The 16,924-nt window shown below is 42.9% G+C and overlaps 2 annotated features.

Annotated features, from left to right (window-relative positions):
* Positions 10,634-11,134: an enhancer, noted in NCBI's record as "H3K4me1 hESC enhancer chrY:639405-639905 (GRCh37/hg19 assembly coordinates)". NCBI's record gives its function as "activates a minimal SCP1, AML or CMV promoter by ChIP-STARR-seq in naive H9 embryonic stem cells {active_cell/tissue: H9 hESC(naive)}" and the evidence as "EXISTENCE:reporter gene assay evidence [ECO:0000049][PMID:30033119]".
* Positions 16,066-16,567: an enhancer, noted in NCBI's record as "H3K4me1 hESC enhancer chrY:644837-645338 (GRCh37/hg19 assembly coordinates)". NCBI's record gives its function as "activates a minimal SCP1, AML or CMV promoter by ChIP-STARR-seq in naive H9 embryonic stem cells {active_cell/tissue: H9 hESC(naive)}" and the evidence as "EXISTENCE:reporter gene assay evidence [ECO:0000049][PMID:30033119]".

Here is a 16,924-nt window from a genome sequence, read left to right on the forward strand (position 1 = left end):
GTCTTTAGAAATAGTTAATGGGTCAAATGAGGTATGCTGGTTTCAGCCATTGCAATAGTTAGCTATGCTGCGTAACAAATGACCCCAATCATAATGGCTTAAAATTGTCATGCTCTCAGAGGAAATTTAGTTCCTTATGACCCAGTGAAAGAAACCAGTCTGAAAAGGTGACTCCGTCTATGAGTCCAACTATAGGACACTGTGGAAAAAAGCAAAACGACAGAAACAGAGGAAGAATCAGGGGCTGCGGGGAGGGAGGGATGAATGGGAGGAGATCAGAGGATTTTTAGGGCAGTCAAATTACTCTGGGTAAAATGACAATGGTGGGTCCACGTCATTATACGTTTGTCCAAACGTGCAGAATATACCCCACCAGGAGGGGGCTGTAACGTGAACTGTGAACTGTTGTGATGATTACGTGTCCATGGAGGTTCACTGAGTGTAACAAATGCACCAGTCTGGTGGCATATTGATAATGGAGGAGGCTGTGCATGTGTGTGAGGTGGAGGGTAGATGGAAAAATCTCTCTGCCTTCTTTGTGATGAACCTAAAACTACTAAAAAAATTAAAATATTAGAAAATGACAACCTATTGGCACATCCTTCTCTTCCGGAGACATCAAGATGGTCTTCGTATGGTGGTGGCAAACTTCTGCCTGGGGTCTTCAGTTCCAGGCTAGGGTAGGGTATTGAGGGGCAGTAGTGAGTATCGGTTCTGAACCAAGCAGCTAGGATGCAATGAACGTCTGGGTAAGAAACTGGAATTGGGGCACCAGGAAGTGAGTTCTGCCAGGTCCGAATGCTTTCCTGGGTTCCCAAGGACTACTTCCTTCACCCTACGCTTTCTCCAAAGTTGGAGGATAAAGCAGGAAAGCAAGACACCTGGGTATTCTGGGAGCCTACAGGTCTACTATGGACTGAATATTGGGTGCCCCCCCAATTCTTTTCTTATTATACCTTTAAGTTCTGGAGTACATGTGCAGAACGGGCAGGTTTGTTACATAGGTATACATGTGCCATGGTGGTTTGCTGCACCCATCAACCTGTCATCTATATTAGGTGTTTCTCCTAATGCTCTCCCTCCCCCAGTTCCCCACCCCCCAACAGGCCCCGGTGTGTGATGTTCCCCTCCCTGGGTCCATGTGTTCTCATTGTTCAGCTCCCACTTAGGAGTGAGAACATGCGGTGTTTGGTTTTCTGTTCCTGTGTGAGTTTCCTGAGAATGATGGTTTCCAGCTTCACCCATGTCCCTGCAAAGGACATGAACTCATCCTTTTTTATGGCTGCATAGTATTCCATGGTGTCTATGTGCCACATTTTCTTTATCCAGTGTATCATTGATGGACATTTGGGTTGGTTCCAAGTCTTTGCTATTGTGAACAGTGCCACAATAAACATACGTGTGCATGTGTCTTTATAGTAGAATGATTTATAATCCTTGGGGTATATACCCAGTGATGGGATGGCTGGGTCAAATGGTATTTCTAGTTATAGATCCTTGAGGAATCACCATACTGTCTTCCACAATGGTTGAACTAATTTACACTCCCACCAGATAATTAATATTTTAATATGCCACACCTTCTTAGTATAATATGACAGATGGAACCTCATGTGATTAAATAAAGAAGTGGGTTATTTGATTCACTTGACACATTTGATTAACCGAGATTCCACTTACGAGTTTTACTGGCCACACTTTAGTTTTAAGAAGGCTAATTAAATTGGGGCATCTCTTATGGAGTCATTGCTATTTCACGTTTTTCTGTTCATTCCACCAATGTTTTTAAAAGAGTTGACTTCTTTGTTTGTTTGTTTGTTTGTTTTTTGTTTTTGAGATGGGGTCTTGCTCTGTGGCCCGGGATGGAATGCAATGGCACCATCTCAGCTCACTGCAACCTCCGCCTCCTGGGTTTAAGCAATTCTCCTGTCTCAGCCTCGGGAGTAGCTGGGATTACAGGTTCACACCACCACGGCCAGCTGAAGTTTCTATTTTTAGCAAAGATGGGGTTTCATCATGTTGGCCAGGTTGGTCTCAAACTCCTGACCTCAGGTGATCCACCTGCCTCAGCCTCCCAAAGTGCTGGGATGACAGGCGTCAGCCGGGATGACAGGCATGAGCCACCGCACCGGGTCAACAGTCGACTTCTTTTGACCAAGTGCACCCTACTGCTAAATATTTTGACTGAAATTTTGTTTTATTTGGAAAAGTGCCCAATGATAGCTTTTCTTTTTTTTTCCCCCTAGTGAGAGCAGAGAATGGCTAAAACATCCCCTTTTGGTAGTCTGGTTTGTTTTTTCTGCAGTTTTTTACATTTCAGGAGAAGTTCTTTTCTGCAAAGAGGTTGGCATACTTCCCTAACGTTGTCTTCTTAATATTACCTTCAAGCCTGCATGGTTTGTACTGAGTAGAGACACAGAACTTGCCCACCTGCCAAATTCATGCCGATGTCTCATGGAAGAACCATTTTACTTCATCTGCATCAAGTCCTCCCATAAACCGGATTCCAAAGTCGTGGAGAAACCCCGTCTCAATCCTAAGGGAGGAAGAAAAACAAATGGAACCAGATGAGGGGTCAGAAAAATACAATTGTGACCTCTGTTTCTTTCTGGGACATTTGGACCACGGCCATCAGTCAGATGGCTGAGAGGATTTAAGGGTCTAACCTAATCGCCTTCTTCCTCTCTTTTTCTGTCTTTGCAGCTATTAAGGATTTAGACTTCTTAACCATTTTATCAGAACAATAGCAGGGAAAGACCTGGATGTTTACCAAGCCTGCCATTAGGGGCCAAGTGGCCACTCCCCATCATCATAATTTGAACCACCATGTAACAGCCATTCCGCCAAGCAAATAAATTGCTGTAACATGACCTGATTATTTATTACAAGGTCAATATAAGTGAAACAGCCTCACAGTCATCCATCAGGGAGCAAGCGATCCTCATCACCTTTGCCATGAAGTGGAACTCTGGGTCGCAGAACATGTAACGTCTGTGTTGGCCATCTCCACAGAGAGAAATTTTCTTTTTAAATTGGAGGAAAGGAATTTTGATCATCGCGGGGCTGTCGCGATGGGGGTGTTTGGAAATGGTATAATTATTGCCTTTAAAAGCTTGGATCTCATTATCGTGTGTATGTATATGTGTGTGTGTGTGTGTGTGTGTGTGAGTGTAAAATCAACTTGTATTTTTTTTTCCCCTTTGCTGATGGTCTCTGCTGACATACATTGTAAAGGCGGATAAGAAGGATTTGGGAACAGCTTTTGGTCCAACTTGTGCTAAATGTCAGCTACTTGGGGAAAGAGTGGAGTTTGTGCAGAGAAAGAGTCGATTTGGGGAAGCCAGAAAGATCCCCAGCAGAACGGTTCATATTATCGTATGACCCTACTTGCTATGGCCGAGCCATCACTACCCGGGCTGGAGTGCATTGGTTCTGAATTGTGGGTCTCTGCCACAGCCGTGAGCTTTACCAGGTTCCTACGTGATCTGCCCGCGTCTCTTTTAGAAGGTGGCGGCAGTGATCGTAACCCACACAATGGAAGTGCCAGGGCAGCCTGGGGGTGACTCCCTGCCCCACACCTGATTATCAACAACAGGACTTGACTCAACCTATGACACTGTGAACGTCAGTTTTGGGAAAAGTTCCAACCTGGGGTCACCTGCGTGTGTGTGTGTGTGTGTGCGTGTGTGTGTGTGTGTGTCAGGCAAGTGGGTCCAGTGTCGTAGGTTAATCTGTTTATATCTCTTGTTATAAATTTGAGCAACTTATTTTTAGGCAAAGATATACACGGAGTTTGCTCAATGGGAAAAAAAAATCACCAAATGCCACTGAACTATATATAAGAAAATATATATATATTTTTATATATATGTATACACACACACTATGTAGTGATATATTTACATGTTATATATTATCTATACATATATAATGTATATATACAGTATATATGTATATATACCAGTATACTGTATATATACCAGTATACTGTATATATACAGTATATAATGTATATATACAGTATACTGGTATATATACATATATACTATATAGTTTCTATATATATTTCTATATATAGTTTCTTATACATAGTCGTTGAATATATATTATATACTATATTATTACATAGTATATTAATGTATCTATAATATATAACATGTAAATATATCACTACATAGTTTATTAATGTATATATAATATATACATGTATTATATAATACAAATATATATTATATTAATGTATATAATATATAATGTATATTAATGTATATAATATATAAATGTATTATATAATATATTGATGTATACAATATATAAATACATAATATATTATATAACATATATTATATTGTATATTAATGTATACAATATATTAATATAATACTTAATATATTAAGCTACATAATATATAATTATATATTGTATTATAATAATATAATATATTTAGGTATATAATATATAATATAATATATGTTATAATATATATCATATATTATACATTATATACCTTCAAATAATATACAATCTTTTATATCATATATTATAATATATTAACATATAATATATAATATATAAAGCTATACAATATATAATTGTATATGATATATTGTAATAATATTTTAAGCTATATATCATATAATTATATATTATACAGCTTTATATATTATATATAAATATATGTACATACTATATAATATATTGTATATACATTAATATACTATATATTATATACTATATAGTATAATAAATATATTATATATACATTAGTATACTATATATTATATACTATACATAATATAATATAAATATATTATATACATTAGTATACTATATATTATATACTATACATAGTATAATATAAATATATTATATACATTAGTATACTATATATTATATACTATACATAGTATAATATAAATATATTATATACATTAGTATACTATATATTATATACTATACATAGTATAATATAAATATATTATATATACATTAGTATACTATATATTATATACTATACATAGTATAATATAAATATATTATATATATTAGTATGCTATATATTATATACTATACATAGTATAATATAAATATATTATATATACATTAGTATACTATATATTATATACTATATATAGTATAATATAAATATATTATATATACATTAGTATACTATATATTATATACTATACATAGTATAATATAAATATATTATTTATACATTAGTATACTATATATTATATACTATATAGCATAATGGAAATATATTATATATACATTAGTATACTGTATATTATATACTATGCAGTATAATATAAATATATATACATTAGCATACTATATATTGTATACTATATATATAGTATAATATAAATATATTATATATATAATTTCTTATTCTTGCCTGCCTAAACATGCTCAGTGATTCTGTGTGGCACATTTAGCTTCCAATGGGTGGTAAGTATATAGCTCTCTCTCCCTTTAAAAAATTAAGATGACATTCACATAACATGAAATTTTATAGTGCTCAATTCAGGAGCATTGAGGACATTCAGAACATCATGCAATCCCCACCTCTATCTAGTACCACAACCTTCTCAGTACCCAAAAGGTGACCCTGTACCCTTTAAGCAGTCACTCCCATTCCCCTCCCCCTTTCCCGGGAAGCTCCAATGTGCTTTCTATTCTCTGTTTTTGACACCACATGGCATGATTCTGCACAATGTGCTTTCTGTCTCTCTGGATTTGCCTCTTCTGGACACGTTTATGTAATGGAATCCTCCAATATTTGTCCTTTGATGTCCGATTTCTGTCACTGAGCATGATGTCTTCAAGGTTCTTCCACACTTCAGCCAGTGTCAGAGCTTTGTTCTTTTTCATGGCTGTATAATATTCCACTGTCTGGATGGACCATATTCTGTTTACCCGTTCAACTGCCAATGGACTCCTGGGTTGTTTCCAGCTTTGGGTCATTGTGAGTCATGCTGCTATGAACATTTGTGTCTAGGTTTTTGTTTGAACATCCGTTTTCAGTTCTTTTTGGTACGTACCCAGGAGTTGAATGGCCGGCTTTAGGGTAGCTTCATGTTTAGCCTTTTGAGAAACCACCAAGCTGTTTAGAGACAAAAATGCTTTTGTCTTCCTCTGGTTCGAGGTTCCCTGTGATCCATAAAAATGGTTCAGCCTCCCTACTTGGTGTCTCTGTTTCAAAGGAATGTGCTCATGTAGAGAAGGATATTTTTTGGAGTCTGGATTTTTGGGTCTGGGAGAAGGTTGAGAAGAGAAAGGGTGGATATCGTTGATCTTTGTAGGGCAGAAAATTGCTGCAGCATCCACAATTGATTCTGCCATTGTGGGAAGTCAGCTAAGAGCTGCCTCTCTGCTCTTGAACCTGGTTGCAAAGGTGGATTGAGGGAGGTCGGCCTGGCCTGAGGCTGGGATCTGTCAGGACCAGTCAAAACCGTCAAATTCCTTCTTCCTTTTTGTACTGCGAGGTCACAGGACAGGTGCCAGCATCTACCTGTGATCCAGGAGCTGGGGCTAAGAAGTAGCCAGGTGGTACTGGAGTAACCTGTCCTGCACCCAAGTTCTGAACAACTGACCACCTGCAGGACCCTCCCCACCTGAGATCTGAACACCTCACCAACTGCAGTGACCGTCCCCACCTGAGATCTGACCACCTCACCACCTGCAGTGACCCTCCCCCACCTGAGATCTGACCACCTGACCACCTGCAGAGACCCTCCCCACCTGAGATCTAAACAACTGACCACCTGCAGTGACCCTCCCCACCTGAGATCTAAACACCTGACCACCTGCAGGGACCCTCCCCACCTGAGATCTAAACACCTGACCACCTGCAGAGACCCTCCCCACCTGAGATCTAAACAACTGACCACCTGCAGTGACCCTCCCCCACCTGAGATCTGAACACCTGACCACCTGCAGTGACCCTCCCCACCTGAGATCTAAACACCTGACCACCTGCAGGGACCCTCCCCACCTGAGATCTGAACACCTGACCACCTGCAGAGACCCTCCCCACCTGAGATCTAAACAACTGACCACCTGCAGGGACCCTCCCCACCTGAGATCTGAACACCTGACCACCTGCAGTGACCCTCCCCACCTGAGATCTGAACACCTGACCACCTGCAGGGACCCTCCCCACCTGAGATCTAAACAACTGACCACCTGCAGGGACCCTCCCCACCTGAGATCTAAACACCTGACCACCTGCAGGGACCCTCCCCACCTGAGATCTAAACACCTGACCACCTGCAGAGACCCTCCCCACCTGAGATCTAAACACCTGACCACCTGCAGAGACCCTCCCCACCCAAGATCTGACCACCTGACCACCTGCAGTGACCCTCCCCACCCGAGATCTGAACACCTCACCACCTACAGGTACCCTCCCCACCTGAGGTCTGAACACCTGATGGTACATAAGCAGGGTTTTATATACCATCTTAACAAAGGATGATGAATTCCTGGAGGATTACCTAGGCAAAGGGAAAAAAAATTATGGACTTCCAGGGGTGGTACATTGTGGGAAGCTACATATCTTTGGGAAAGAAATGGAAGATAAGGGTGATTTCATCAGCTTTGATGCCTTCTCCATGACACGTGTCATCTGAAATAATTAAGAGCCATGCTCGGCCAGGCGCAGTGGCTCGCGCCTGTAATCCCAGCACTTTGGGAGGCCAAGGGGGTGAATCACAAGGTCAGGAGATCGAGACCATCCTGGCTAACACAGTGAAACGCCGTCTCCACTAAAAATACAAAAAAGTTAGCCAGGCGTGGTGGCGGGCACCTGTCGTCCCAGCTACTCGGGAGGCTGAGGCAGGAGAATGGTGTGAACCTGGGAGGCGGAGCTTGCAGTGAGTCGAGATCACGCCACTGCACTCCAGCCTGGGTGACAGAGCCAGACTCCGTCTCAAAAAAAAAATAATAAAATAAAAGAGCCATGCTCCTCTTCCTGGTATGGGAGGGAGACACCTTTTGTGATGGGTAATACTGTGTGTCAACAGGATCAGATTGAAGGATGCAAAGTATCGATTCTGAGTGTCACCGTGAGCGTGTTGCCAAAGGAGATTAACATTTGAGTCACGGGGCCGGGAAAGGCAGACTCACCCTTAATCTGGGTGGGCACTATCTCATCAGCTGCCAGCAGGGCCAGAATATAAAGCAGGCAGAAACACGTGAAAAGGCTAGACTGGCTTAGCCTCCGAGCCTACATCTTTCTCCCATTGCTGGAGGCTTCCTGCCCTCGAACATCGGACTCCAAGTTCTTCCCCTTGGGGACTTGGACTGCTGCTCCTTACTCCTCAGCCTGCAGATGGCCCGTGGTGGAATCTTGTGACCATGTCAGTTAATGCTGCTTAATAAACTCTCCTTTAGATAGATAGATAGAAAGATAGATAGGTAGGTAGGTAGATAGATAGATAGATGATAGAAAGATAGAAAGATAGGTAGATAGATAGATAGAAAGATAGACAGATAGATGGAAAGATAGATAGAGAACTATATATATAGTTTTATATATAGAATGATACATAGTGTTATATATAGATATTTATATATAAACTATATATAACTACATAGTTTATATATAAAACTGTATAACTATATACAGTTTTACATATATAAAACTATATATGACTATATATAGTTATATTTATATATACATATATGTAAAACTATATATAAATATATATCTATAACATATAAAACTATGTGTAACATATATAGTTACATTTACATATCTATACATATATGTAAAAATATATAGTTATAGTTTTATATATGTAAAACTACATATATAGTTTTATGTAAAACTATATATAAAACTACACTATAAAACTATATATAAGACTATATAAAACTATATATAACTACATAGTAATATACATATAATGTTAAAACTATAACTGTATATAAACTACATAATATATAATATATATTTAAATATATATAGTTATATATAACTATATATAACTATATATAGTGTTAAATATAAATATATAACTATATATAGTGTTAAAACTATATATAATATATAATATATATTAAATATATATATTTATATATAACTATATATAAACTATATATAATATATAATATATATTAAATATATATATTTATATATAACTATATATAAACATATATAATATATAATATATATTTAAATATATATTTATATATAACTATATATAAACTATATATAATATATAATATATATTTAAATATATATATTTATATATAACTATATATAAACTATATATAATATATAATATATATTTAAATATATATTTATATATAACTATATATAGTGATATATATAATATATGTATAGTTATATATATAACTATGTATAGTGATATATATAATATATGTATAGTTATATATATAACTATATATAGTGATATATAATATATGTATAGTTATATATATAACTATATATAACTGCAGAATGTATATATACAGAATAGATATATACGTCTAATAGTGTATATATATATATAAATAAGAGTTCTGTCTCTCATAGTATATATATTTATGTCTCTCCTTTAGTTCTCTTCTCTAGAGAACCGTGACTAATACACCTGTACAAAAGGAAATGTATGTTCTGCCATTGTGCATTTGGGAGGGCGACCTCCAAGGCCTCCATCCCTTCCCTGGAGCTGATGGAGATGCGCTGCCCTTGGCTATTGCTATGAGGGGTACTGGGCTGGGGCAGGGATCCCCATGGGGACACCACACCTTTCCTTTTGAGTTCCCCAAGGTTGCAGTGTTTCTGATGACTGAGCATTGAGGACAGTGGGGACACCACCTGGAAGGCAGGGCCTGGTCCCATATAAAAGAGGCAACGAGAGAGCCAAGGCCAGCTCTCCTTGTTGTTCTGAGCCTGGCCAGCAGCCAAGGGAGATGATGGACACAGTCCAGGGTGATGTGGGCCCCTCCCTCTTGCGCTGCCCCTGGGCTGAGCTGGACGCTGCAAATTCGCGGGAAGACACGTTTTCGGCATCACCCCGTCCTGCAGGTAGAGGGAGCCCTGGAGAGATTGTCTTCTGAGTTCCTTTCTCTTTTATTTATTTAGATTTGTGGGGCAGCCCTACTTTGTTCTATGAGAAAAGCAGGAGGGACCAGGAGGAGGTTCTATGGATGATGACCACGACCGACGTAATCTCAGGCAAGCTTCAGAAGAGGAGACGTGAGCGTTCACTAAGGAAGATCAAACGCACCCGCAAAAAGATGAGCCCAGCTTTGCTAACGCCCTGGTGAGTGTCAGGTACAGATAGAGGATGAAAACCTTCAACACACAGGGAACGTGGGCTCCCAGCAGAGCTGACCACAGACAGGCCCAGGCCCTGCTAACACCCCAGTCACAGGTCCAGTGCAGACAGTGGACGCCGGTATTCAATGCACAGGGGACGTGTCTCCCTGCAAACCTCACCACAGATGGGCCCAGGCCCTGCTAACGCCCCGGTCACAGGTCAGGTGTAGACAGTGGATACTGGTATTCAATGCACAGGGGACATGTGCTCCCTGCAGAACTGACTCCAGACAGGCCCAGGCCCTGCTAATGCCCCGGTCACAGGTCAGGTGCAGACAGTGGACACTGGTATTTAATGCAGGGGGGATGTGGGCTCCCAGCAGAACTGACCCCAGACAGGCCCAGGCCCTGCTAACGCTCCGGTCACAGGTCAGGTGCAGACAGTGGACGCTGGTATTCAATGCACAGGGGATGTGGGCTCCCAGCAGAGCTCACCACAGACAGGCCCAGGCCCTGCTAACGCCCCGGTCACAGGTCAGGTGCAGACAGTAGACGCCGGTATTCAATGCACAGGGGACGTGACTCCATGCAAACCTCACCACAGACGGGCCCAGGCCCTGCTAACGCCCCGGTCACAGGTCAGGTGTAGACAGTGGATACTGGTATTCAATGCACAGGGGACATGTGCTCCCTGCAGAACTGACTCCAGACAGGCCCAGGCCCTGCTAATGCCCCGGTCACAGGTCAGGTGCAGACAGTGGACACTGGTATTTAATGCAGGGGGGATGTGGGCTCCCAGCAGAACTGACCCCAGACAGGCCCAGGCCCTGCTAACGCTCCGGTCACAGGTCAGGTGCAGACAGTGGACGCTGGTATTCAATGCACAGGGGACGTGACTCCATGCAAACCTCACCACAGACAGGTCCAGGCCCTGCTAACGCCCCAGTCGCAGGTCAGGTGCAGAGAGTGGACGCCGGTATTCAATGCACAGGGGACATGACTTCATGCAAACCTCACCACAGACAGGCCCAGGCCCTGCTAACATCCCAGTCACAGGTCAGGTGCAGACAGTGGACGCTGGTATTCAATGCACAGGGGATGTGACTCCATGCAAACCTCACCACAGACAGGTCCAGGTCCTGCTAACGCCCCGGTCGCAGGTCAGGTGCAGACAGTGGACGTCGGTATTCAATGCACAGGGGACGTGTCTTCCTGCAAACCTCACCACAGACAGGTCCAGGCCCTGCTAACGCCCCGGTCGCAGGTCAGGTGCAGAGAGTGGACGCCGGTATTCAATGCACAGGGGACGTGACTCCATGCAAACCTCACCACAGACAGGTCCAGGCCCTGCTAACATCCCACTCACAGGTCAGGTGCATTCAGTGGACGCCGGTATTCAATGCACAGGGGACGATGGCTCCCAGCAGAGCTCACCACAGACAAGCCCAGGTCCTGCTAACGCCCAGGTCAGACTGGGTCAGGTACAGATGGGACCAGGCCCTGCTAACACCCTGGTGAGTATCAGGTGCACACAGAAGATGGGAACAGGGGATGTGGGCTCCCTGCAGAACTGACCACAGACAGTCCTGGTCCTTGCTAACACCCAGGCCAGTTTAGCTGAGGTATAGACGGCAGACGGCGGCATTTAATGCACAGGGAATGCGGGTTCCCTGCAAAACTCACCACAGACATGTCCAGGCACTGCTAACATCCTGGGCACAGGTCAGGTACACACAGTGGACGTGAACATTCAATACTCATCCCAGATGGGACCAGACCCTGCTAACGCCCCAGTCAGAGGTCAGCTGGGCATTTAATACACGTGAGACATGGGGTCCTGCAGAACTCACAACAGACGGGCTGAGCCCCGCCAACGCCCAGGTCAGAAGTCAGGGCCAGAGTGTTGTGGCGTTTTTCCCGGGATTTTTGTGTCCAGCTAAATCTGTCCAGCTGCCGTCAGCTGTAACGCCTAGGAGCTGCAGCAGTCTCTGCTACCCTTTTATTCTTTCTCTCTTTCTTTTTCTTTTTCTTTCTTTCTTTCTTTCTTTGTCTTTCTTTCTTCCTTTCTTTCCTTTCTTTCTTTCCTTTCTTTCCTTCCTTTCTTTCTTTCCTTCTTTCTTTCTTTCTTTGTTTCTTTCTTTGTCTTTCTTCCTTTCTTCCTTTCTTTCCTTTCTTTCCTTCCTTTTTCTTTCTTTCTTTCTTTGTCTTTCTTTCTTCCTTTCTTCCTTTCTTTCCTTTCTTTCTTTCCTTTCTTTTTCTTTCTTTCTTTCTTTGTCTTTCTTTCTTCCTTTCTTCCTTTCTTCCTTTCTTTCTTTCCTTTCCTTCCTTTCTTTCTTTCCTTCTTTCTTTCTTTGTCTTTCTTTCTTCCTTTCTTCCTTTCTTTCCTTTCTTTCCTTCCTTTCTTTCTTTCCTTCTTTGTCTTTCTTTCTTTCTTCCTTTCTTTCTTCCTTCCTTTCTTTCTTTCTTTCTTTCTCTTTCTTTCTTTCTTCTTTCTTTCTTTCATCTTTCCTTTCCCTTCCTTCCTTCCTTTCTTTCTTTCTTTGTTTCTTTCTTTGTCTTTCTTTCTTTCTTCCTTTCTTCCTTTCTTTCCTTTCTTTCCTTTCTTTCCTTCCTTTCTTTCCTTCTTTCTTTGTCTTTCTTCCTTCCTTTCTTTCTTTCTTTCTTTCTTTCTTTCTTTCTTTCTTCTTTCTTTCTTTCCTTCTTTCTGTCTCTTTCTTTCTTTCTTTCTTTCAGCTTTCCCTCCCTTCCTTCCTTCCTTCCTTCCTTCCTTCCTTCCTTCCTTCCTTCCTTTCTTTCTTTCTTTCTTTCTTTCTTTCTTTCTTTCTTTCTTTCTTTCTTTCTTTCTTTTTCTTTCTTTCAATGGGGTCTTTCTCTGTCGTCCAGGCTGGAGTGCAGGGGTGCGATCTCGGCTCACTGCAACCTCCGCCTCCCGGGTTCAAGCGATTTTCCTGCCTCAGCCTCCTGAGTAGCTGGGATTACACGAGGTGTGTGCCACCACGCCCAGGTAATTTTTGTATTTTTAGTAGAGACGGGGTTTCACCATGTTGGCCAGGCTGGTCTCAAACTCCTGACCTTGTGATCCACACGCCTCGGCCTCCCAATGTGCTGGGATGACAGGTGTGAGCCACTGCGCCCAGTCTCTGCTCCCTTTTTCGAAGGTTGCTTCTTTGTGCCTGTTCAGTCTTTTCTGGAACCTCCCATCTCTCTCACGGAGACCTTAGGGGGTGTCCCTTCTAGAATGCTGCCCTGGAGCTGTGCCTGACCCCTCCTGGGACTTGAGCATTTTTCTGTCGAATGAATGCAGAGGGGTGGAGAAAAACTCCCGCTCTAAACTGGACTTTGCTTCCAACGACGGCTGTTTTTGAATTGTACCCATCGCCTCTTCATGGTATAAGGTAAGGGCTAAATATATATTATTCACTGGGCAGAATTTTAGTTTGATTTTATGGTAGTGAAATTTACATACCATACAAGTAACCAATTTACAGCGTCCAGTTCAGGAGCCGATAGTACATTCACAATGTTATAGAATTGTCACCTCTCTCTGGTCCGAGAACATTCTCGTCACCCCAAAAGGCAACCCTGAACCCCATTAAACAGTCACCCCCATTTCCACTTCTGAACCCCTGGTGACCTCGAATCTACTTTCTGTGTTTATAGATATTGTCTCAGGTAAGCAGGGGTAAAATAATTTACAAAGAGAATTGCAGATAAAGACGGACTTTTTTATTTTGAGATAGAGTTTCGCTCTGTCACCCATGCTGGAGTGCAGTGCTGTGATCTCGGCTCACTGCAACCTCCACCTCCTGGGTTCAAGCGATTCTCCTGCCTCAGCCTCCAAGTAGCTGGGACTACAGGTGCCCGCCACCATGCTTGGCTAATTTTTGTATTTATAGTAGAGACGGGGTTTCACCATGTTGGCCAGGCTGGTCTCGAACTCCTAACCTCAAGGCATCCACCCACTTCGGAGTCCCAAAGTACTGGGATTACAGGTGTGAGCCACTGTGCCCGGCCATTAAACTTATCTTAGCCTTATCTTTCCTTGGCATCGTCTTCATATCCAAAAAAATCCCTCTGGCCAAGTTTTCCTTGTGATGCTTTTTCCAAAAAAAATTGCAGGGACTCTTTAGAAAATTCCAATCTCCCTGGCAGTTTATGCTTGACTAGTTGGAGTGGCCATTTGGCCTTTAAGAACCTGGAGCAGGCTGGGCACAGTGGCTCACACCTGTAATCCCAGCCCTTTGAGAGGCCGAAGCGGGAGGATTACGAGGTCAAGAGTTCAAGACCAGCCTGACCAACATGGTGAAACCCCGTCTCTACTAAAAATACAAAATTTAGCTGGGTGTGGTGGCAGACACCTGTAATCCCAGCTACGTGGGAAGCTGAGGCAGGAGAATCATTTGAATCTGGGAGACGGAAGTTGCAGTGAGCCAAGATTGTGCCACTGCACTCTAGCCTGGGCAACAGGGCAAGACTCTGTCTCAAAAAAAAAGAAAAAAAAAAAAAGAACCTGGGAAATGCCAGGCACAGTGGCTCCTGCCTGCAATTCCAGCACTTTGGGAGGCTCAGGTGGGAGGATCGCTGGAGCCCAGGGCTTTGAGACCAGCCTAGGCCACCTGGTGAGACCGTGTCTCTACAAAAAGGACAAAAATTCACCAGGTGTGGTGGTGTGTGCCTGTAATCCCACCTACTTGGGAGGCTGAGGTGGGAGGGTCGCTTGAGCCCAGGAGGCAGAGGTTGCAGTGAGTTGAGATCGTGCCCCTGCAGTCCAGCCTGGGCAACATAGTGAGACCCCACCTCCATAAATAGTAATAATAATAATAATAAAAAGAACTATGAATAACATCTCAGATATACATTCAAAATATTATTTTCAATAAATGTCTTCTCAGGCGTCCAAATAGACAAGCGATTCTCCAGCCTCAGCCTCCTGAGTAGCTGAGACTACAGGCACCCGCCACCAAGCCCGGCTAATTTTTGTATTTATAGTAGAGACAGGGTTTCACCATGTTGGCCAGCCTGGTCTCGAACTCCGAACCTCAAGTCATCCACCCACTTTGGCACCCCAAAGTACTGGGATTACAGGCGTGAGCCACCACGCCCGGACATTAAACTTCTCTTAACCTTATATTTTCTTGTCACCCGCAGAGTGCCACCTGTCCAGGCATCGTGCTGGCACAGAACGGCCAATGGGCATGGAATTCCCAGCACTGTTTGTCTGATGCATTAGATGACATAAAGATGGTGTCCTAAGGTTCCACACAAACCTCTTCGCCCACCACTCGGATGATCTGAAAAGCACAAACATAGTTTGTGTCTCGTTGGGGTGTCTACAAACTGTTTTTTGGAACCATGGTCCTTCTCTGCACAGGACTCACTTAGCCAAATGCAACTCTTCTCCTGACCTCCTAATTAATAAGATGAAGGCATTCGATCTGTGCGTCTGCAGCCCCGAGACCCCTTCTGCATATTAAAACCCACCTCGCCGGGCAGGCAGAACACTTGTTTGTGTGTATGGGAGCCCCCAGCAGCCCTTGGTCTATACTAGGCAAATAACAAAGAGGAGGAAAAAAAAAAACTTAACAAATTACAGCTGAAACAAATCACCATTGCCCCGTTTTCAAATTATTATATTTCTGGGGAATTTCAGCCCGTTACATGAAAAGGAAGACAGCCGATCCAGAGGGCTTTTGATCGTCAGGTTATGTTAATAACCGGCGCTCATGTAAAATGCATAAGATGTACCTTACTGTGGAAGAGGATGGCTGATAATTACTCCGTATGCACAGAGGGTACCTCATTCCAAACGGATGCATAAAGACCCCCTTTTACATGGCAGCCTAATTACTTATAGACAGTTGAGCAGAAAATTACTTTCATCTGCTTCAACATGTGGCAGCAAAGAGATTTGAGCTGTACTTTTCAAAACAGCTGGCTGGCATACTGCAAGAGAAGGCCGGTGTTGTGTGGGACTGATTGCAAAGTGCATTTTCTGATAATTAGATCTATTAGAGAGAGGCAAGGACCAGCCTGCATTGGAAGCGGAAAAAAAAAATTAACTGCAATGAACAGCAAGCAGGCAGTTCCTAGATGCTCCCAAAAGCCTGAACGGGGGCTGGGACGGTCACAGAGCGGCCCGGCCCCCATGAGCTCAATCTCTGATCACAGCAGGGTCCCCAGAGAGAGTGGGGGGGCCCTCCTGATGGCATGGCCAGGACCCCCGAGGCCGCCACCGGAGACTCTGCCTTTGATCTCGCCCTGGTCTGCTCACTCTGCGTGAGGACGACTCTGCCATCCTAATGATGGTTTTGCATCTGCCTGAGGTTTTGCTTTGCAGGGCTGCGGAAAGTGTCTAGCACGGCCAGCACCGGCCAGAGATACGGGGACCTGGGGGATGAGAATCCGCAGGTGCAGGTGGAGAAGAAACTTCTTTCTTGGAGGCTGCGGCGGCTCGTGGGGGAGCTGCCCCGGGTGGGAAGCATTTTGGGGCATCTACAGAGTATCTTGGGGAGGGGAATAAGACCTGCAGATTCTTCCTACATAGCTTATTTTGGTGTAGATAAAACGAGTGTTGTGGGACACTGTTTTCACAGCCTGGCGTTAGCTTCTGGTCTTCGGGATCTTCAAGAGAGGCTTTTAATTTTCTTT

Source organism: Homo sapiens, chromosome Y (assembly GCF_000001405.40).
Source record: "Homo sapiens chromosome Y, GRCh38.p14 Primary Assembly".
In the NCBI taxonomy this organism is placed as follows: Eukaryota; Metazoa; Chordata; class Mammalia; order Primates; family Hominidae; genus Homo; species Homo sapiens.